The 23,614-nt window shown below is 48.9% G+C and overlaps 1 protein-coding gene across 4 annotated transcripts in view, besides 3 other annotated features; it reads left to right on the top strand.

The window, feature by feature from the left end:
- The window catches only part of GMDS (GDP-mannose 4,6-dehydratase), a 621,800-nt gene that overhangs the window by 589,767 nt on the left and 8,419 nt on the right, over positions 1–23,614 (top strand). The gene's annotated exons all lie outside the window — the stretch shown is intronic.
- Positions 10,995–11,942: an enhancer, noted in NCBI's record as "H3K4me1 hESC enhancer chr6:1644131-1645078 (GRCh37/hg19 assembly coordinates)". NCBI's record gives its function as "activates a minimal SCP1, AML or CMV promoter by ChIP-STARR-seq in naive H9 embryonic stem cells {active_cell/tissue: H9 hESC(naive)}" and the evidence as "EXISTENCE:reporter gene assay evidence [ECO:0000049][PMID:30033119]".
- Positions 18,732–19,263: an enhancer, noted in NCBI's record as "H3K4me1 hESC enhancer chr6:1636810-1637341 (GRCh37/hg19 assembly coordinates)". NCBI's record gives its function as "activates a minimal SCP1, AML or CMV promoter by ChIP-STARR-seq in primed H9 embryonic stem cells {active_cell/tissue: H9 hESC(primed)}" and the evidence as "EXISTENCE:reporter gene assay evidence [ECO:0000049][PMID:30033119]".
- Positions 21,615–22,115: an enhancer, noted in NCBI's record as "H3K4me1 hESC enhancer chr6:1633959-1634459 (GRCh37/hg19 assembly coordinates)". NCBI's record gives its function as "activates a minimal SCP1, AML or CMV promoter by ChIP-STARR-seq in naive H9 embryonic stem cells {active_cell/tissue: H9 hESC(naive)}" and the evidence as "EXISTENCE:reporter gene assay evidence [ECO:0000049][PMID:30033119]".

Below are 23,614 nucleotides of genomic sequence, written 5' to 3'. Positions count from 1 at the left end.
TGTCTCCGGTTTTGTATAAAAATATGTTAAAGACAGCCAGGCGCGGTGGCTCACACCTGTAATCCCAGCACTTTGGGAGGCTGAGGTGGGCAGATCACCTGAGATCAGAAGTTTGAGACCAACCTGGCCAACATGGTGAAACCCTGTCTCTACTGAAAGTACAAAAGATTAGCAAGGCGTGGTGGCTGGCGCCTGTAATCCCAGCTACTCAGGAGGCTGAGGCGGGAGAATTGTTTGAACCTGGGAGGCGGAGGCTGCAGAGAGCCACTGCACTCCAGCTGGGCAACAGAGCGAGACTCCGTCTCAAAAAAAAAAAATATGTGTGTGTGTGTGTGTGTGTGTATGTGTGTGTGTGTGTGTGTAAGGCTTTCAAACGTAAGGAAAAAAACTAATGTAAATATTTTACATAAATAGGAAAATGTGTCAATTGAAAAAAGAATATATACATGTCAGTGCAATATGAAATAGCTTAGTGAGTAGCCTTAGAAATTTAAGAAAAGAATAATCAGAACCCACGTATTCATCCCTGCACATTATTTTTAAAATTTCGTTTACCCAGTTCCCGTGATGTAACCAGCACTGTGCTAGGCACTAATGATACAACAATTAAGGCTCAGATACCCCCAAGGAAGTAGCTCTAGTGTGACACTTTTTGTCTTTTTTGAAAATATACTTTTAATCTCCTTTTTGAAAAGAAAAATGAGAGTTAGTGATTCAGTATAGTGAGTTATTTTATTTTTCAAGTTAAGTATCAGTGGAATTTTTTTTTTTTTTTTTTTGAGACGGTATCTCACTCTGTCACCAGGCTGGAGTGCAGTGGTGTGATCTTGGCTCACTGCAGCCTCTGCCTCCCGGGTTCAAGTGATTCTCCTGCCTCAGTCTCCCGAGTAGCTGGTACTACAAGTGCGCACCACCACGCCCAGCTAATGTTTGTATTTTTAGTAGAGATGGGGTTTCACCATGTTGGCCAGGATAGTCTCAATCTCTTGACCTCATGATCCGCCCACCTCGAGCTCCCAAAGTGCTGGAATTACAGGCTTGTGCCACCATGCCTGGCCCAGTGGGATATTTTTTAAATAATGGTAAAGTACACATAAAACTTACATCTTAACCATTTTCAAGTGTGCAGTTCCGTGGCATTAAGTACATTCACAGTGTTGTGCAGCCATCACCACCACCCATCTCCAGGACTCTTTTTTCCTCTAAAACTAAAACTCTACCCCATTTTCTCCACCCCAAGCTCTGGCAACCACCATTTTTTCCATCTTTATGAATTTGACTACTCTAGGAACTTCACGTAAGTGGAACCATGGAGTATTTGTCTTTTCATAATGGGCTTATTTCACTTACAGCATAGTCGATGCATGATTTATCCATGTTGTAGCAGGTGTCAAAATTGTCTTCCTCCTTAAGGAGGAATAATATTCCATAGCAAATATTACCACAGTCTGTCGATTCATTAATCTGTCAACGGACACTTAGGTTCCCTCCACATTCTGGCTGTTTTGAATAATGCTGCTGTAAATATGAGTGGACAAGTGTCTATTTGAGACTCAGCTTTCAGTTCTTCTGGTTACTAGCCCAGAAGTGGAAATGCCAGATCATATGGTAATTCTATATTTAATTTTTTGAGGAACTACCATACTCGTTTTCCATTACGACTGCAGAGTTTTACATTCCAATCATCAGAGCACAAGGATTCCAGTTTCTACATATTCTTCCCCAATACTTATTATTTTCTGGGTTTTTTGATAGTAAACCTCCTAATGGGTATGAGATGGTATCTCATGGTGGTTTTGACTTGCATTTCCCTAATGAGTAGCGATGTTGGGCACTCTCTTATTTGCTTGTTCTTTCTTTTGTTGTTGTTGTTGTTAAGTTGTAGGAGTCCACTTTGTCTGCTTTTACTCGTGTTGCCCATGCTTTTGGTGTCATATCTAAGAAATCATTGCCAAACCCAATGTCATGAAGCTGTTCTCCTGTTTTCTTCTCAGAGTTTTATAGATTTAAGTCTTATGTATAGGTCTTCAATCTATTTGAGGTGACTTTTATGTACGATGTAAGGTAAGGGTCCAGCTGTGTTCTTTCGCATGTGGATATCCAGTTTTCCAGTACCATTCGTTGAAGAGACTGTTCTTTCCCCGTAGTGTGGTCTTGGTACCCTTGTTGAAAATCAATTGGCCGGGTATATTAGGGTTTACATCTGGGTTTTCTGTTCCATCCTTCGTATCCGCGTCTGTCTTTATGCTGGTTCCACACTGTTGTGATTACTGTATCTTTGTAGTTTTCAAATCAGGAAATGTGAGCTCTCCAACTTTGCTATTGTTTGTTGTTGTTGTTTTCAAAATTCTTCTGGCTATTCAGAGTCCCTTGAGATTCCATGTAAATTTCAAGATGGATTTCTATTTCTGCAAAAACATCATTGGGATTTTGATAGGGATTGCACTGAATCTGTAGATCACTTTGTGTAATGATCTTTACCCTAACAATAGTAAGTCTTCCAGTCCGTGAACACAAGTTGTCTTTGCATTTATTGGTGTCTTTTGCAACTTGCATTTGAAGGCCTATTATAAGTGAAGTACTTGTAAGTGAAGTATATGTGGTCATGGAAAAATAATTTAATCTTTTTCCTACGGCAGTGTACAGTCCAGTTTAAACAATAAGACAAATTGTACAAATAAGAGTGTAGATGGGAAGTGACACTGGCACCTTGGGGACGTGCCACGGGGGTCTGTGGAGGGAGGCATGCATCTGTGCTCCTCAAGGCTGCCGAGCAGTAGGACCTGTGGGAGACAACAGGAGCCACGCGGGCCAGGTGTCTAGTGGGTCGGAGACCTGGGTGACTGCAGGTGGCCCGGAAGGCCAAAATACAATGCAGGCCTGAGGGATCGAGAGGGACATACACAGACACACGTGACCCAGGAGGGCAGGAAGAAGGCCAGCAAGCACACATGAGTGTGGCAGCCTGTACACATCCCACAAGCAGAAGCAGGACAAACAGCAGGTCCGGACAGGAGGGAGACCTCAGTGTCTGAGCTGGCCAGAAAGAAATCCAGTTTATTAAGGTGTCTGTCTGTCTGTCTGTCTGTCTGTCTGTCTCTCTCTCTCTCTCTCTCTCTATATATATATATATATATATAATATATTATATATAAATAATATATATTATATATATTATATATAAATAATATATATTATATATATTATATATAAATAATATATATTATATATATTATATATAATATATTATATATAAATAATATATATTATATATAATATATATAATATATTATATATAAATAATATATATTATATATAAATATATATAATATATTATATAAATAATATATATTATATATAATATATATAATATATTATATATAAATAATATATAAATATATATAATATATTATATATATATTATATATAATATATATATATATATAATATATATATATTTTTTTTTTTAGCGGAGTTTCACTCTTGTCACCCAGGCTGGAGTGCAATGGCACGATCTCAGCTCACTGCAACCTCTGCCTCCTGGGTTCAAGAGATTCTCCTGCCTCAGCCTCCCAAGTAGCTGGGATTACAGGTGCCTGCCACCACAGCAGGCTAATTTTTGTATTTTTAGTAGAGACAGGGTTTCACCATGTTGGCCAGGCTGGTCTCGAACTCTTGACCTCAGATGATCCACCCGCCTCGCCTCCCAAAGTGCTGGGATTACAGACATGAGCCACCACACCCGGCCTGTTAAGGATAATCTTAGAAGATTTCTGATCTTAGCTCTCTCAGTTCCACCAAGAGAAAGCTCAGATTAACGTTTCTGAGTTCTGCACTGCTGCCAGCAGAGAAAACATCAAACAAGGAACTTTCATTCCCCAGCACGTGCCAGTGCAGGAGACACCCGACTGAGTGTGTGATGTTGAAGTTCATTGTTTCTATCTCTAAAGCACCCTTGAAAAACAAGGCATTTGGGCAGCTATACTTTTAAATAGGAACAAGCGAATATTGTTGTTTATCGAGTGCCAGGTGTAGGGCTTTTGCATACACATTATCTCATTTACTTCCTTACAACTCTGTGGGGTAGGGCTCATGGGTCTATCTAAGGATGGAGAGGTTGGCACGGAGATCACCTCAAAGATGGTAAAAACTGAACAGTCACATTTGTGTGATGCCAACCACAGGCTCACATCTGAATCTGTTTTCTCCCAGAACAGAGATGAGGGCCAGGGCAAAAGTCTAGCTTCAGACCTGGACAGGATGAGCCAAGTATGTCCCACGCCCTGGGTGCGGCCCCCAACAACTGTTCTTCTAGTTAAAGGAGGGTGTGCCCATGGGATGGCCAGGACCCTGGTGACACCAGCCCTGGAAGTGAAGATGCACAGAGCATCTGAGAAGGAGGCTCCAGGAGAACATCTACCTCCCTTCCCTGTTCTTTGCCAGGAAGGTTGAGATGCCAGTCCCAGGACAGTGTGCACAGAACTATTCCTGTGAGACACCATGCTGGGCCTTAGTGAGCCATGCCAGGCTGCTCCCTCACACCAGCCGGACTCTTTGAACTTGTCATTGAATTTTCCAAACCAGCATGATGGGTGTGAGCTGATGACCCAGTGAGAAGGGGTGCATGCTGCCACTGGTGTGGGCTGCTCCATCAAACCAAGCACAATGCCACACTCCTGGTGGAGCTGCGGCCCAGCATGGCCATCGTCATCCAGATAGCAGCTCAGCAGGGCAGGTGCACCCACTCAGGACAAGCCTAATTTTCCTCCCATGCAGGGCCCAGGAAAACCACTCACCAATCTTCACTGTAGAGCTGGCCCTGCCTTCTCAGGGGACATGGCAGGGTTGCCGAGTACTTTTCTGTTTCATTCATCTACTCATTTGCTTTTCAATCTAACAAGACTGTTTTATTCTTTAGAGCATTTAATCTTAAGAGTCAGAGGATGAGAATAGAAAATTGGCTGGGCACAGTGGTTCACGGCTCTAATCCCAACAGTTTGGGAGGCCAAGGCAGGTGGATCACTTCAGGTCAGGAGTTCAAGATCAGCCTGGACAACATGGCGAAACCCCCATCTCTACTAAAAATACAAAAAAAAATTAGCCAGGCATGGTGATGCACACCTGTAATCCAGCTACTCGAGAGGCTGAGGTGGGAGAATCACTTGAACCTGGGAGGCGGAGGTTGCAGTGAGCTGAGATCACACCACTATACTCCAGCCTGGGTGACAGAGCGAGACCCTATATCAAAATAAATAAGTAAATAAATGTGTTTAATCAGTAGACAGTAAGGGTTAAGAGGGTTTTTCCTCTGTGCTTGACCATTAAAATGAACGAAGAATTGGTAGGAGAAGGCTTTGAGTGATTTGGATTCTGCCTGAATCTGAACGGACTGGAATATTTCACACGTTCTTAAAAGGTGCCACTGTACCAAGCCATCTGATGGGACACACCAGGAGGGCTGAGAACCTAAGGAGTCTCTTATGTCTTTAAAGGAAGAAATAAGCATATAATTAATGGTTGGTTTTTTTTTTCCTGGGCATGAGTTGGATCAAAAGAGAGCTGTCAGAGCCATGGGCAGGAGATGATCCTGTCAGTCTTTGCTGGGCTCACGGCTGCCCTGAAAGTTAAAACTCTTGGTACGATAAATGCAGTTGCTGATAGTATTGGCACCAGTCCCCACGAGCTAGATGAGGAAAGGAAAAGGAGGCCATCTCAGAGCTGCGTGGCCGAGGGAACCTAGATGATTACGGCCAGCATTGCCACTTTACAGCTGAAGAAACTGAGGCCGTGGAAGTCGTTGCTTGCCCAAGGTCAGACGGCAAGATCATCACTTCGGAAGTTACTTTCAGAAGGCAAGGTGCACATTCACTGGCCAGGAGACTGCTGGAAAGTTCCAGTCTGCTCTTTCAAGGCCTCTCTTGACAGAGGGATTTAGAAAACTGTGAAGCCAGGCACTGGCCACCCTCATAAAGTGACAAGTCACCTAAAACTGTTTTCCTGCAGAGCTGTCAGGAGCATGATATCTAAGGGGTGTCTTCGAAGTGCAGTAAAAATGTCTTGATTGGAGAAGGAGGCAATAAACTTTCTTTAAAACTAAAGAAGAGACAGTTTGGAAAGAACCTGGGGTCATTGGCCTTGTGTTTGAGAATGAGTTGGAATGTAGCAAAGGGAAAAAGATGCCCTTTGGCCTGCACATAAAGATGCAGTAATTAGGGCAGGAGCATTTGGATCTAGTGCATCTGTGCCTTGGATAACGTGCCTTCATGTTACAAGGTGCAAAGATAGCAGATTTCAATTCCTCTAGGACTCTTGCTTTAATGGCGTATTATGAGCAAAATTAAAGTGTATTATTAAATGTGTCCTGAAATAGGCTGGATGCACAGTGTACAGTCAGTTTTAATGTTCATGGCATAAGTATCATGAGTTAAATTTAGAGTTGGGAAATTATCAGATATTCTGACCTCAATTTGAACTAAAGGCAAGTCATTGACCTCTGAGACTGAGTTTTCCTGTCTGTGAAGAGTTAATGACATACACTTGAAACACGGGTTGAGGTGAATCACAGCAAGACTGTATAAAACCCCAAAAGAGTAATCGGCTAATGTCTTCCTAGTACCCAAGCTTACTTCCTGACAGTACATCACAGTATTATTCCAAACCAGGACCCCCAGTGGCTAGACAGGGTTAACGTGTCATTCCTGCCCCATGAACCCTAGACTTACTGGCAAGTGATTTGCAGCATAACCCAAAACCTGATGTATGAATAATATTTGAAGGACAGTGTCATAAATTTACACTTTTTAAAAATAAGAGTTGTAATTATATGTGTGTAAATGTGAATGACTGCCTTAAACGTAAGCTCATGTTCTCTCTCTGATTCTGTATAGTGTTGCCTTGAGAACCATTATATCTGGAAATGTGGAGCAAAAAAGTCAAATAAGAGCTCTCGGAAGACTGTATGTTTTAGATCTTTTATCAGCAAGATCTCTGGGACAGCTAGTGGAGAAATCAAACAGGGAGGCAGCAGGCCAGTGATCGCCGTAATAGTTTAAACTTAGACCAGTAAAACGGAGCTATTTTACAAAAAACTGTGGCATTCTAAATCGTTGAAAGTTACGTTTCATTATTTGGGAGTGGTAATTAGCTAGACAATGTATGATTAAAGTATTATGAAACTAACGGATCTGACAGTTCTCTTTGCAAAGAAGGAGGCAAGAGCCATGCTTTTTTGTGTGCAGAGGAAGACTTCATCGCATATTCTTTACGTGTTCAAAATGATTCCTTGCTATTGATACTTGTTCTAAGTTTTCCCCACATAAATTACAGTAGCATTGTGAGGCTAGTTGTGAAATTAAGCCATACTTTATGGAGCTGCCCTTAGTGGTGATGTAAAATAATCTTTAGAGTCTCTTGTGTTACTGAGTACAGATCATAGGCAGCTTCAAATAAGTGGGCAGCTACATCAGAAAGCATGACGCTGGAGAGAAAGGTTTCCTTCCGACCAAGGTAGAACCTGAAATGTCCAGATATATTGGAAACATGAAATGTATCCAGCGTAACTTCCACTGCTATCTGCCACACAGAACAACCACACTGTTTATATTGTCACTTCTGAAGAGTAATAGTGAGGAGATCCTGAGGAGAGAGGATATGATAAGCCATTGCCCAAATTACAGAGCCCCAGGCCTATTCCATCTAATCAGGAGAAAGAGCTTTAGGCGAGGATGTCCTCACTCTCTCAAGAGATATATTTTGAGTCCTCACTATAGGCAAATAGGTATGGGCTCTGAACAGGGTGGCTAATGAACAAGACCGAGTTCCTTTACCGTCGAGAAGCCCCTGCAGGTACAGAGCACCCGAGCATCAGGGATGTGGGAACTGTGCTGGTCCCTGAGATGAGAACAGCTGTGGTTCAAGGGAAGACCAGACCGCTAGCATCGTTGTACTCTGAGAGGAGGTGGCATTCGGCTGGCACTGGAGGGATCAGTACAGTGTCGGTAGGTCCGGATGCTGAGAAGGACATTCCAGGAGGAAGGAAGGGCTTGTCCTTCCCCCACTCCGGCCTGAGAATGTGTCCGAGATTCCTCAGGACTCAGCCCAGATGACTCCTTCTCTCCAGAGCATTCCGTTCCACACAAGAGTGAGGACTCACACCCTTTCCTACTTTCCTTCCACTGTGCCCAGGAACTAAGTCAGTGTCTTGTCACACTACATGGCAGTTACTGGCATATGTGTCTGTGTCCCCTTGACCTTGTTCATTAGCCACCCTGTTCAGAGTCTAGTACCTATTTGCCTGTAGTGAGTACTCAAAATATATCTCTTGAGAGAGTGACCATATCCTCTGGTATAGCTGAAGGTATTAATTCTTATTTCAGTATCCCAGGTATCAGCTTCCAGACCCTTCAGCCTGCTGGGGACACTCTTTTTTTAGGATTTGGGGGTGGGGAGAAGCTGCTTAAATTCCTGTTCCCATCCAGCAGGAAACCCCATGTCTCCCCAGTAGCTCTGAGAATCACCTGGCTCCAGTGAAACTCCGAATGCCCTGCAGCCTCCATTTCCTACGTTCCACAGCAAATAAGATGTTCTATAACTGCAGGTGTTCAGCGGAGGGGTTATGTCTTGGTTAAGAAACCACTTTAAAGCCACATCGTGGACAGGCCTGTTCTCGAAGCTTCCTGGTCATTGTTTCTTGCAGAACACTGGTTCCTCTGGGAGGGGATGGAGTTCTTCTCCCTCTGCACCTGCCCAGCTGCCCTGAGCAGCCCTTGTCACCTTTATGCAAAGCAGTCCAGCCCTTTCCGCCATCCTTCCTCCCTAGCCAGGGCAAGGAAGGGGCAAGAGGCCTGGCTACCACCCGTGCCCACAGGAGCCATCAAGGTGGTCTTTTTGTAAGAGACTGAGTGAGCCCAGTAGGCCCCCTCTGACCTGGCTTTTGAACTAACCTCCCCACCCCACCCCCCACCACATGGGGTGCCCAGGACCCAGGCATTCAATGAATTCCTCTTCAGGGAGTTTTCTAAATGTGCAGAAGTGGGGAGTCTTCAGCCTATGCCTGATTCCTGGTTAATCTGACTTTTCCTGAATGCAGGATATAGGTGGAAAAAAATGGGAAATAAACCTGGAAAAGGAGGTTGGGATCATATTGAAAGATACTGGGCTGGGCATAGTGGCTCATGACTGTAATTTCAGCACTTTGGGAGGCCAAAGTGGGTGGATTGCTTGAGCCCAGGAGTTTGAGACCAGCCCGGGCAACATGGCAAAAATCCATCTCTAAAAAAAACATAACACAATTTAGCTACGTGCCGTGGCATGAACCTGTAGTCCCGGCTGCTTGGGAGGCTGCAGTGAGCCATGATCGTGCCACTGCACTCCAGCCTAGGTGACAGAGCCAGACCCTGTCTCAAAACACAGTGGTCAGATATTGGAGGTCAGGGTGAGAGTTTGGCTTTTATTTGGCAAGTAATGGAGGGTCCTGACTAAGGGACTGTCACAGAAAAGCCCTAGGTGGAATGAGCACGGACCCCAGAGCAGGGGAGGGCTGGTCTGTGAAGCGGGAGGATGCTGTCATCCTCCAAGGACACGGGAACTGAGGGCTTGGGCCACAGCAGTGATGCAGAAGAGGTGCAAGGAAAGCCTGGGTGCCAGAGGTACTGGAAGTGGCAAAATAGAGAAGAAGGAGCTAAAGGTGGCTAAGATTTTAAATCTCAAGGATGGGAGTGAGTGAGAGGAATGGTAACAGTGCAACAGGAAAAGAACAATTGCATTTAGTTGGGGGGAGATACATTGACTTCAGTTTTAAACATCCCTTGAGGCATTCTGCAAATACCGATCGAGTGCCTCTGCGTGCCAGGCACAGTGCCAGGTCCTGAAGACAGAGGTCCATATAGTGCACTCAGCACTGATGTTCTAGGGAGGCAGACGACAGGGTAGTGGGTGGATTGGCAAAATAACCACAGATTGTTAACAAGTCCTCAGAGAAATGAGAGGGACACTGTGCTAGAGAGAAGCGAAGTTGCATGTGGAGACTTCTCACAGGAGATGCTTGCTGTAGACAGGGTGACGCTGCGGTGGCCATGGGCACTGGCTGCAGTTGTCAGGCTGGAAAGAAGAATGCAGCCCTGGAATCCAGGAGAAAGGCAAAGGCTGAAGATAGAGTGATGTCCTCACATAGAGGCCATAGTTGAAGTTGTCTGCAGAAAGGGGCCCGCCCCAGGAGAGCCTGCAGAAAGCAGAGACACTAAAGCCAAGGTTGGACCCGGAGAGTGGGAGGAAAAGAGCAAGTGAGGCAAGGCAAGGACAGCACAGGGAACACCAGGCGAGGGCTCCGGACCTCCAGGAGGACAGGGTGAGCGTCCCCGGGCACTCGAGCATGCCGTGCACATGCCATCATGGGGGTAGAAGGCGCCATTTGCACAGTGATTGAAAAGTGCCTTCTGCCATCAAGACAGCATCCGTGGGATATTTTAGCGCTGATGGGTGCAGGAAGCTATGCTAGGCACAGCACGGGTGACTGAAAATGGGCACCATAGATTCTCTGCCCATGGGGGGCTTGCATTCAGTTTGGGGAAGGAAGTGTGCTGGATGACAGGGTATAAGAATCAAGCAGGCTGGGCGCGGTGGCTCATGCCTGTAATCCCAGCACTTTGGGAGGCCGAGGTGGGTGAATTACGAGGTCAGGAGTTCGAGACCAGCCTGACCAGCATGGTGAAACGCCGTCTCTACTAAAAATACAAAAATTAGCTGGGCGTGGTGGCACATGCCTGTAATCCCAGCTACTCATGAGGCTGAGGCAAGAGAATCGCTTGAACCTGGGAGGTGGAGGTTGCAGTGAGCCAGGATCACGCCACTGCACTCCAGGCTGGGCGACAAAGCAAGACTCCGTCTCGTTTAAAAAAAAAAAAAAAAAAAGGACCAGAGTCTGAATCTCATCCTGATACACCCCACTTCCTAACCTCGTGACTCTGGGCAAGTTACTCACTAAGCCTCAGCTTCCTCATCTGCAGAATGTAGGTGCTGGCCAGGCCCTGAGAGCCAAAGCTGTCAGAGCTTGCAGTGGGTGCAAGGCTCACAGTACAGGTGCAAGAAACGGCAGTGGGGGTGGCCGTGAACCCTGGCTCTGTGGTCACCAGAAAACCTCACAGTCCCTCCTCTTCGCCATAAATCAGGGACCTTGGGATCTCCTTCCTGGGCGGGCAGCAGGGATTAGAGCAGCTCCCTGTGGGACGGTACCTGGCTCCTCCCGACAGGAGATGCTGAGAAATGTTGGCTGACTTAGAGCACAAATTTGGTCTTCTAAAGTGGAGAGAATTTCAGCTGGGGAACTTGGGAAGGGAGGAAAAAGTGCAAGGTGGTGAGAAAGGCAGGAGCAAAGTGCAGGCAGCAGCAAAGTTTTGAGCCTGTGGGGAGTGCAGCCTAGCGGCTCATATGCAGCCTATTTATGGCAATGGTGAGACGCCAACAGGAAGGCAGGAAGGCTCTGGCTGTGTTGAGGGCAGGTTTGGATGCCCAGCAGAGGGCTTCCAGGTGGCAATCTGCAGTCCACCTGACAGGCCCTAGTCACAGCTGCAGTGCCATCCGCTATCGTTCACACGTTCGCTCGGGTGGAATCAGGGGTCTCCCCTGGCGGTGGAGGGCCCTCCCCGCGTGGGTCCCTGGAGGAAGAGTGGATCCTCATACTGGTGGCTGCAGGCTACTAGTATCTGCAGGCTGAGGTGCCGTGCTGACCTACCTCAGACCGGGGGTTCCTTGCCAGAAGAGCAGGCCGAGGACACGGGGCAATGTCAGTCACAGCGCTGGGCCCTGGGGCTCAGAGGGGAGGTGTCTGGGGACAACGGGGGCTGGGTAAGGGCCGTCCGCCCTGGGAGCCTTGTCAGCTGAGGAGTCAGGCTTGGCCTCTAGAGAGGGCCCACCTGCAGGGTGCTTTGCTCCTTTGTTTCCTCTCAGGGTTTTTAAAAGGACTTTTTTTTTAGAGGGGAGGGGAGCTGGGAAGAGACTTTCAACTTTTTTTAATTTTTAAACAATTTTATTGAGGTATAATTCACACATCATACAGTTCACCCACTTAAAGTATATGATCAATGGGTTTTAGTCTGCTCAGTGTGCAGCCATCACCACAATCAACTCTAGGGCATTTTCATCACCGGAGGCAAAAACTCCATAACCATTAGCAGTCCCCAGTGTCCCCCCCACCGTGGCCCAGGTGGTCACCTCTCCACCCCTGTCTCTATGCATCTGCTGATTCTGAACTTCCGCTGTCCCCACCTAGCTATAGGTGTGTATCCTTTGACCAGCATCCCCACAACTGCCTAAGGCCCTGGTAACCACATCCTACTCTACTAAAAGGACTCTCGAAGGCTCTCCTTGCCTCATTTATGCCATGGGAGCCGAGGAAGGCATGAGCACCTTGACAGCCACCTGGAGATGAGCACAGTTGCAGCAACAGAGCCTCGGGGGCTCAGCTGCCCCGTGGGCAGTCAGGGTTCGTTTTCAGGAAGGCGTAAGGAAATTGCATTTCCTTACAATGCCTGTGTGTCCTGCCAAATGGGCTGGGTCTCAGGGACACCAAGCTGAGTGAGATGCTGTCCCTGCCCCCCACACTTGTCTGGTCTGGTGAATCAATCCTCAGACACCTTCTATGAGGGCACCCTTGGAGATTCCGGCACATCTCACCTGGCTGAGGACCTCACCAAGCTCCACTTTTCACAAACTCCACAGGATGTGTTGAGAATCACCAGTTTCTCTGGGGAGACTCAGGGGAAGAGACTCAGGATAAGAAAATAAAAGGAAGTATGGACCGGCTCTGCAGGATGCCCCCCTCGTCAGCAGATCCCTCATGATGTGGTTGTGTTAACTCTGCTAAGACCAGGGCTGTTTAAAAGCCCCCAAAGATTCTCTGTGAAGAGCTATTTTAAAATAGGGGAAAAAACTCAGTGAGGAAGGGGACTCCATAAGGAGTAAAGGGAAGGGGCTTCGTGGGGCCCGGCTTTAGGAGCAGAGATCCGAGGCCCATCCTGATCTTCCTGTTGGACTTGGAGAGACAGACCGTCCAGGCCCAGCTTGCCTGTCGCCCACATGGGACCAGCACAGCTGCCCACCTGTGCTATTCACAAAGACACAAGAAGCCATCATGAAGCAGGCTTTATAAAGTCAAAATATTACTCCACGTCTGTTATGCATAAGGACTCAGGACGATGGTCACCATGGAACCCCGTTCTCCAACCTAGAGGACAAAGACCAGGTTGACCTTCACCTTAGGGGGAAGGTGGAGATTTTGAAGGAGAAATTTATTTTCTCCCTGACAAAACCAAAATTTTCAGACAAATCTGAGCAACAGTTATAGAACCTTTGGGGTAGGTTTAAAGACGGAAACTGGCCGGGTGTGGTGGCTCACGCCTGTAATCCCAGCATTTTGGGAGGCCGAGGTGGGCCGATCATTTGAGGTCAGGAGTTTGAGACTAGCCTGACCAACATGGTGAAACCCTGTCTCTACTAAAGACACAAAAATATTAGCCGGGCGTGGTGGCACATTCCTGTAGTCCCAGCTGCTTGGGAACCTGAGGCAGGAGAATCTCTTGAACCTGGGAGGTGGAGGTTGCAGTGAGCCGAGATCACACCACTGCACTCCAGCCTGGGCGATAGAGTGAGACTCTATTTTTTTCTTAAAAAAAAAAAAAAAAAAAAAAAAAGATGGAAACTGCCCAGATTTCAAGAGAATTGAGGCTTGCTGCGCTCCCCTTAGTTTCTGAAGAGCAGGGTTCCAAGTGAGCGAGGACAGGATGAAAAGGAGAGTGCTACGCAGGGCGATCTTTCTGAGCCAGGGGCCAGTAGGAAAGGACAGGGGCATCCTGAAGGAGCAGGTGAAACGAGGGCCTTCTTCGGGGTTCTGAGAACTTCCTAGTGTGCTTCCACTGTTTGGGACAAAAGAAGTGTGCCGAGTTGTTGGGGTATTTCCGCTTCACCTTTCATGAAGGTAAGTCAGAGAGATGCGTGGGGGAGCCCCAGGGCAGACCCCAAATATCCAACAGGAGGCTGACCAATATTTAAAAACCTGACTTTCAATTAATTAAATCCTGAAGAAGGAAAGGGAGAGAGAAGAGGGATAGAAAAGAGAGAGAGAGAGAGAGAGAGAGAGAGAAATCATCCGAGAGACGCGAGCTGTACGCGCCTGACTGCTGGAGGTAATGCCTTGAGCAGCAGAATGGAGCGCTCCTGTCTGGGCTGCTCAGGGCCTCTCCACGGGACCTTCTGTGCCTGCTCCATGCTCCGCCCTTCCCCAGTGCTAAGCACTGAGTCACCTGATAAAGATCGCAGTGGCCCTTCAGGTTCTGCCACAGGCTGGGGTCAGGCAGGCACTTGCCAGGTGCACGGCACCCTGACCTTCCACAAGGTATTTCCCTCCTTTGACAGGAAGAAGATAAAGCTTTTTTCCTGTCCATTCTGAGACGCAGGCTGTGCTGCTCCATGGCACTTTCTGAGTGCCACCAGCTGGCAGGGCATATTTCTCTCCATTTATCTTCACTAACGTGACAGTGACATAGATTGTCCCTGAGGAACACAAGACTAGCCCCTGAATTACATCCTTCAGGACCTCCAGGGTGCACAGGAATGGATGAGGACCTCACTGAGCCCCAGAAGCCCCTGAATGACAGCATGTCTCAGGATGTCCCAAAATGAGTCCAGTCCAATCTCCAGCATGTGAGTAGCCACCAGTTTCCCCAAGGGAACTCCTAAGACCATCTGCAGGCAAAGGGTCTAATGAGCACCCAGAGGAAGAAATATATACAGGGATCTTTCCTGAGGAAGCCAGAAATAATTCTCACAGCTGTGGAGCCAACGCCACCTGTAACAGCTTCCCTGACCCCAGCCCCATGGGGTCACTCTGGACTTCAGGGTTTCTAACCAGCCGGCCCTTCAGGGCCCTAGCCCAGCCTGCTCCCTCCACCTCAAGCTTTACCCAGGGCAGCCCCCACTGTCAATCATAACTCTGCCTAAACAGTACCGTGTTGGCATTCGTGACCCCCCCCATTACCCAATTTTCTTTTTATCAGAGGCCTTGTAACCACCTGATTGTTTCCTTGATTGCCTGTTTACTGACAGTGCCCCCACAGTAGAACATGAGCTCCCCGTGTGTCTGGTTGGCTGCTGTGTCGGCAGCCCTGGGCCTGCGCTGTGGGGATGCAAGGGCACATTCCATGTGCTCTGGAACCACACCTGAGACAGCCTGCCCTGCTGTTTATAAGAAATGTATTCTCTCCAAAACGGGCACCTAGAAGGCACAGCCACATCCAGCATGTTCCACGGGCATGGGATAGCCTCAGAGAGCCGCTCAGCAGAGAGGTCAGGGAGGTTCAAGGCTGGGGAGTGGCCAACACTTAAAGAGGGACCTGAGGCAGGAGGAGAGCGAGCATACGTGGAAGGCCTTACCCCGTGACAGGTGCATAACACACCTGCAGGTGTGGCATGCCTGAGGATGAGGACACCAAGCCACCTCAAACGTGGTGAATCTAGTGTCAACCTAAGTCTCTGTGACCCTAAATCCCATGTGCTTCTCCACGGGCACAGTTTCAGTGAAGAAGAGGAAGCATATTCCAGGCTGTCGGGAACCAACTGCATGAGGAGGGCAGCAGATTGCTAGAACTGAAGAGTGATGTGGGGGAGCCTTGGGCAACAGTGCTGCCGAGCTGGTGCCATGGACTGGTACATCCTTCTGGGGTCTAACTGCATCCCCTGGGCCCCAGTAGAGCCGTCACTGACTGTGCAGTGGCAGGAGCTGCTGTCTGTCGGGCACTTACCCAACATCAGGCACTGATTTTATCTCTGATCTTTAGCATTGGTCGATATCATTCAACAGGCTTATACATCATGGAACCTAGGCCCAGTGAGGTTCAGGGCATCCAGGAAGTAAGTGGCAGAACTGGAATTCAGCTTGGATCTGTGTTTTCATTTTGTTTTGTTTTGTTTTGAGACAAGGTCTGGCTCTATCACCCAGGCTGGAGTGCAGTGGTATGATCTTGGCTCACTGCAGCCTCTGTCTCCCGGACTCAAGCCATCCTCCTACCTCAGCTTCCCAAGTAGCTGAGCCTACAGGCATGCACCACCACACCCGGCTGGTTTTTGTAGAGATGGGCTTTCACCATATTGCCCAGGCTAATCTCGAACTTGTGAGCTCAAGCAATCCACCTGCCTTGGCCTCCCAGGTGCTGGGATTACAGGCATGAGCCACCGTGCCCGGCCTCAGCTTGGATCTGACTCCAAAGCTCATGCTCAGCTGGCGATGACTGCTTTGCACCTGGGGGGTCCACATTCAGCAAACGAGAGAGTTCCACTTGGCCCCCAGCCGTACTAAACGGGGCAGTTCTGGGAGGTTCTCTAACACCACTGGGTCCTTGAACAGCTGTCTGCATCTGGACTGTTAGCCTTGCACTTCGTCTCCCTACCTTCTGCTCGTTCCTCACAACCCAGCTCAGGGAATATCTTCTCTGGGAAGTATTTCCCAAGAGCCCTCACTTCACTGGCCTGTGAGCGCCTCCTGCGTCCCACTGTGAAGGTAGCTTAATCCTTCCACTTCCCCCAGTGGGAAAATGCTAGGCACGTCACCCAGTATCTGTTTCTGCAAGTGCCTCAGTGGCATCCTTAACATGGTGCGTTGTGGAGGCCACCACACAGCCCTCTCTCCTCCGCTCCTGCTCCTCTTCAAGCCTGAGCCCTCTCCCCGTATCCACAGGCACCCACCTCCTTATCTGCTAGCCTGCCCTTGTTGCCTGCCGCAGACACAGGTACCTGTCGGAGATCACCATCTATGTCAGTCTCCATCACTGACCTTGAGCTTCTGGGCTGACTGCATGTATGAACGAATGTTGGCCAGGATGGAATAAGAAGATTTCAAGGTGTCTCTTTCTTTCTGCACTCTCACTATCCAGACTCATGAGCTAAGTAGTTGTAGATAAAGTCTTTATGTACCTCCAGACTCACTCTACTCATGCAGGTCCCATTGACCTGAAAACATGGTCTCCCTCAGTCTCCACACCCTAAGGAATATTTGTGTTTCTGTTAGTAGTCATGGTGGTAGCATTAATAAGACCCAGAGAGTTCTTTCTAATTCTGTGACTTGGGTTCCTTTCATAGAAAAGAGTGCTCTGAAGGGAACAGATACCAAGCAAAGGTCCCTTGGTAGTATCCCAAACCCCAGAGTTCCCATGTCAGGTGGCTCTGAGTGTTCCTTGCCATCCTCAAAGGCAATACTTCCTTGAATAATGCCCCCCAGAGCCCAGTCCTGCCTGAGGAAGTCTGGGAGTCTCACGGCCTCATAGTGTCGGGGGTTGGGGGGGTGGGGCATAGAATGAATCCATGGGCACACAGCCAGTGGCCTGTGTTTAAGCTGCTCATAAGTATAAAGTTCAGGATCATGGCCATCCTGCTGGCACTCGAGGAGCTGATCAGTGTTTTCGAGAAAGCTACGTTAATTAACCAAATCAAAGATGCTTTTTCTTCAGCCAGGGTTCCCTCTGTGAAACCATTCATCTCCAGCTGGAGAAAAGCAGTGGAATTTTTGTTTTGCTCTAAACCCAGGGCGGCATCAGGCTTTTTTAGTGTGGGGCTTTGACATGAAGAGACCATGCTCATTTCTGCCTGGTGTCTCTCATGCCCCCCACCTTTGTTTCTAACTCTTAGGTTCCATTCCTGTCTCTGCTCTAATCTAATCTGGACCCCTGTAGCGCAGAAGCACATTCTCTCTCTTCTGTCCGTGTTGTTGGCAAATGCTTTCTTTACACACCTCAGCCTCTACCTGGTGGTGAACGCATGGCTTTGCATTTATTGTTACCAAGTGTCAGCACACATAACTAAAGAGAGAAGACCCTCAGGGGAGGTGGTCTAGGTTAATGGGCTAGTAACCTAGTCTTTGGAGTCAGATAAGCCTGGGTTTGAATCCAGGATCCACCTCGAGTGGCACACGGCAAGTTACCCACTTACCAGCACCGCCGTTTCCTTGCCTACCTCGTAGGACTGTTAGAAGGCTGAAGGACAGGGGGCATGTTGCTGCTGGTCTAAGGGCCCTCGGGGAACCCTTGTCTAAACTGGTAAAAAACCCATTCTGAACAGCCAGTGCAGGGACTGACTGGCCCACTGCAGAGGGAACTCCCCTTGGGAGCCTTCTGCATGGAGGCCTCTGTCCCCACAACAGTCTGCAGTAGGTCAGGCATTTGGTTATGATCTGTGCTGGTGCGGAACGTGCTTCCCCTTGTGCCATTATTTATGTGTGATGCAAGTGCTTCAGTGACCTGCTCCACCCAGGGCAATAAGGTGCCACAAGTGTCCGCTTTATAGCCACGAGAGAGCATAAGCACCCAGAGAGCCTGACTTGGCACAGGTGACAGCTCCCCGGAAGTCCAGCCGTGCCTTCACGGGGGAGAGTTTGAAGCAGTAGTTTCCTCGGGGCCTTGTTCAGCACACCAGAACTGAGTCAGACCTCTGCCCTCCAGGCCACCTGCCTCCTCACAAGTGCTGTCTGCGGGGCCGGCCGGGAAGCACATGCCCAGCTGCGGGGCTCCTGGGCCTGGAGAGATGCCTGGAAAGGCCTTACTGGGCAGAGGTGCAGGGAGACCAGGGCCAAGGGAGGCCTCTCCACCCTTTGCCACCTGACAATCTGCTGAGTCACCCAGCTCCCCCAGACACCTGGCTTGACTCAGACTCAGTGCAGACAACGAGCCAGATGGAGCCCAGCTGGGACACCTTCAGTCCTACCACTCTGCTGCCACAGCTGCCTGGAGCCATGCCTGGCGCTGGGCTAGGAGGCACAGTGCGGGGTCCCCAAGGCAAGAAGCAGTCTCAAGGTGTTATGCGAGCACCAGCAGGCCTGGCAGAATGGCAAGCAGTAGCTTGGAGAGGGGCCGTTAGAGTTCTTCCGGTCCCAGCGATCCCCCGTGTGCAGGTGAGGCAAGCCCAGGTTCAGAGCTTGTGCTACAGGGCCAGGCCTAGGCCTCACCTCTCCTCCCTGCTGCCTTCCACGCCATTCCCATTCCTGCACAGAACCTTGGGCAGGTGAGGCATGGGCAGACCTTCCGGGGCCCACTGGTACGGGTAAGAATCAAACTTGCAAGGACATAACCGTAGCGTGGTAAGGGCTGCCTGTGTGGCAGCCAGTGCCCCCAATCCTAGGCTCATGGTGTCAGGCTAGGCCCTGAGCTCTCCATCCTGGGGGCTCATCCCTCCATGGGAGCCCGTTCCTCCATGGGGGCCGCATCAGCACCAACCTTCCAGGCACCTTCAGGACGGCCAGAGAGGTGTTGGTGGCTGTGTTCTCACATGAGTCTCTTGATCATCTTGTGAGTGATCTTCATGCTGCACGCTTCCTTGTATAACAGTTAAATGAAGTGAAAGTAACTTTGAATTGAGTCCAAGGGTTGATTTTTGCCCAACTTCAGCCTCAGGCTAGCCCTTTGTCAGCCCTGGCTCAATCTTTATATTGTCTGTCTTCTCCAAACTCAGGAATCCCAAGACCTTCAGAGTGGGCATTACTTTGCAAAGATGGGCCTACTTTCTACGCCAACAGGCTTTTTAGAATTGATGTGGCCAGATTTCTAGAACTATCCCACACTCTAGGCCACCCTTGTCCCTCTTTCCTGTGTTTATTTGGAGAGCATGTTGTGCACATCAAAGAAGAGGTTCCTGCTGGTGGTTTCATCAAATTACTGAGCAAGAGAAGCACCGAAGAGATGCAGACATTCCTGGAACAGATTCCTCGTGGCACGCGGATCTCATCCCTTTATTTCTATTTCCGCTGACATTCTGGGAATGTCTCTTTTCTGTCGTCTCCTAGTCCTCTTTGTGATGAGGAGGGCTGCCACGGTGGCAGGTTACTCTGGAAATGCGACGTAGGAAAAGTGCCTTGTGAGGAAAGGGCTCTAACCAAACAGTAGTGTCCTAAAGATAGCCCCAGCTGAGAGCAGAGAAGAGCAGCTCCCAGACGCAGTGCTGGAGGTGCCGAGGCTGGGCCCTGCTTGCCTGGAGTGGCTGTGGGTTATGTACAAGGCTGTAATCAGTAATTTCTCACATTTGGATAGAGCTGTCTTTTCCAAAGCGCCTTCACATCCACCGCAGTATCATTTTAGGCAAGTTGGCAGAGTATGAACCAGGCTCTCGTTTGCATCTGCAGACTTGAGGGCCACACCCCCCGGTGGGCTTTGCACAGCACAGACCCTCAGCCTTGTCAGTGAGGCTGGCCCCGACGGCAAACAAAGCACCTGCCAAGGGTCGCCGCACAGTGTCGCCCTCGGAGTCCCCACCAAAGCTCCCATCAAAGTCAGCCTGATTATTTTCCACTGCATTTTCCTGAAAGGATGTTATGATTTTCTAGATGTTTGGTGGCCGGCGATAAATCAGGCTTTTATGATGTCATGTGAAAGGCCCCCTCTCGGACTTCCTCCTGCTGCAGCCGGAGGATGAAAGTGGGCCATGTTGGTTGCGCAGTGGACACAGCTTGCCTTAACCCTTTCCTCGCCTGTCCCGTGGACCAGGGTCACGGAAGAAGACAAGCTGTTTCCCCTCAGCCTGCCTTTCACAGGAGCATAGCCAGGACATGTGAAACGGAGCCCCTTTCCCAGAGCTAAGCAGACTTGCTCAGCAGAGAGGCTTTGGCCTCAAATCAGGATCAAAACAAGAAGGCGTGCTCCATGGAATGATATGAGAGATCACAGGTGATTCTCTAGAAGTAATCTTTTGGAAGAGTCCCTGTTCTCTAATCTTGAAATCGTGAAAAAGGAGATGACACGTAATGCTGGCAGGGCTGTGGTGAGAGGCACACGCAGACTCCACTAGGAGAACTTCGCTTCTGGCATTGTTGATTCGTAGAATGTCTTTGAAAGCAATAAAAACGTTCTCATTCAGATGAAAATCCTAGGAGTTCTCTGTCAGTCCTCTTTCCCCCACCACCGCCTCCAACCCCAGGGAGGCCTTTTCTGCTCTTTCTCCAAGATCATCTCAAGTTCACCCACGCCTTTCCGTCGCTATGTCCCCTCCCCACCCCTCGTGTCCAGGCCACCATCGTCTCTCACCACATCTGTGACTGGAGTCTCTTAGCTGGTCTCTCCCCTGCTCTTGCCCCTCTTTCTAACCCACAGGCAGCATCTGCAGGCATCTTTGAACTCATGCATCGCAGCATATGCCCCCAGCACTTAAAACCCCACTGTGGCTCTAAGCAAAGCCCAGACTCCATATTGGATGTGCTGGGCCGGTAAAGGATGGAGTTCAAAGTGAGCGGGTTCTCACTGTAAACGAGTGGACTTTTACATAGTGCACATGGACACAGAGAGACACACCCAGAGAGAGACAGAGAAAAACACATACACACAAGAGTATGGTAAAAATGTTTTCAAAACACAGACAGGTTTCAGTGCTGTGCCTCATCCTCTTGAGAGCTACTGGGAAAGGAGAAGGCCTTTAACCAGCAAGGGGAGCTCAGGGTCACAGCTTCACTTCAGGCAGGAGGAAATGAAGGGTGGAGCGGCATCTCAGTAGCCTTCAGAGGCTGAGCGTGTCCTCATTTGGCCAGAAGAGGGACAGCCCTATCACAGCACACCCTAGCAGGTGCTGGAATAGGATGGCCAGGTTACTGCCTCTGGTGATCCCTAGTCTCCATGTCTTTCAGGGCCAGCTGGGTGCAGTCCCGCTGCAGTGGCCAGCACCTGAGTCGCCAGGTGCTTTTAGGTTAGGTGGACCAAGCACATCAAAGAGTGGCAGATTTTCCAGGGGAAGAGGGATTATGTATTAGAGTTGGGCCATGCAGGGCAAGAACGACTCGTCCACCTTTTTAAAAAGACACACAGCTAAATGACAGTTTATAGTCAGTTCCATACTTTCAAAAATTGGCACCAGAAAGTCAGAATTGTAAGCTCCATCAGGTTGAGGTAGCCAGCTTTCCAACCTCCAGCCACAGCCTGCAGGCGGTAGATACTCCAAGGCAGTCACTGTGACCAGACAGCAGAGCCTTGTGACCACGTGGCTTTGCTGGGAAAGGCCTGGGCTCCATGGCAGAAACCACCCGGGAGGCCAACAGTGCCTGCCTCTGTGTCCCTCCCAGCCTCGTGGTCATGGGCTCCTCTCCCCGTCACTCCCCATGCCCAGTCACAGCAGCCTTCTCTCCGGGGTTCCCTTAAGGCCTTTTTACCTGCAGTGTCCCCAAGAGACCCTCACACCCCAGATCTTTCTGTGACCGGCCCGTGCACATTGTGCAGATCTCTGATCCAGTGACCTCTGTGGAAGGCCTTCCCCGCCCAGCCAGTACAGAGTGCCCTCCCGCCCTCCAACAAGCCAGCCCCCTCTGCAGTCGCTCCCTCGCACTCCCATCAGCCGAAACTCAGGTCTCCGCCAACTCTTGTGCTGCCAGACCCTAGAACATGGGCTTCATGACAGCCACGGCCTTCTCTTGTCCACGTTTGCTTCTCCAAGGCTTAAAGCAGTAAATATGTGGCAACAAGCAAGCAAGAGACTGTGAAATGTTTGCAGAAATTGAGGGACAGCAGAGTACAAAATCTTCTACACTCTGTTACAGCTATTCAGAAAATGATTATCTAAAATTAGAGGAAGGGTTGGGGTGCAGGGTAAAAGTTGCATGTAAGTATCAAAGAAAAACTATAAAACAGCCCACTTAAAAATATTACATCTTCATCCATGATGTTACTGCAAGAAATGAAAAGAATCGTTTTTCCTACATTTTAGTGATAAATAATAGCCTCAATGGAAAGCCTGTATAGGATGAATTAGAAATGGTTCTAGCTGTTAAAAGCAGCTGTGCAATTTTGAATTCTCACACAACTTTGCAAGCCTTGCTGTCCCCGTTTTACAGATTTAAAACCTGAATCTCAGAGTTATTAAGAAAGAGTTAAGTGGTTGAGCCACGTTGTGATTCCAGGTCTCTCCAGCAATGCCGCCATGTTGGTTGTGTCCACGAATTTTTCTTCCTTTAGAGGCGAAGTCTCATTCTGTCACCTAGGCTGGAGTACAGTGGTGTAATCATAGCTCACTGCAGCCTCAAACTCCTGGGCTCAAGCAGTCCTCCCACCTCAGCCTCCCAAGTAGCTGGGACCACAGGCAAGTGCCACCACACCCAGCTAATTTTTTAAAGTTTTTTGTAGAGACAGGGTCCTGCCATACTGCCCAGGCTGGTCTCAAACTTCTGGCCTCAAGCAGTCCTCCTACCTCAGCCTCTCAAAGCACTGGGATTACAGGCATGAGCTATCATGCCTGGCCACGTTTTTGTGTTGAGATAAAATCTATATACTGTGAAATGCACAAATGTTGAACTGCAGTTTGATCTGTTCTGACAAACGCACACACTCTTGTAACCGACACTCCTATTCATATAAGGAGCATTTCCTCACTCCAGAAAGTTCCTTGGTGAACCTTCCCAGTCAGTACTCCTCCCCTGTCCTCCAGTCTCGTTTCTATAACCATGGATGCCTCTTCTGGGACCTCACATACAGCAAATCATACAATATGTACAATATGGACTCTTCTGTGTCAGTTTCCATCCAGCATTAAGTTGATATTTCTGTGTGTTGATACCATCTATTACTTAGAGACCTCTTTGCCACTCAAATTAATGTGTGTAAAGTGTATT

The sequence above is a fragment of the Homo sapiens genome, chromosome 6 (genome assembly GCF_000001405.40).
Source record: "Homo sapiens chromosome 6, GRCh38.p14 Primary Assembly".
Taxonomy (NCBI): Eukaryota; Metazoa; Chordata; class Mammalia; order Primates; family Hominidae; genus Homo; species Homo sapiens.
Note: the sequence above shows the minus strand (reverse complement) of the source record. Positions and strands in the feature narration are given on the sequence as shown.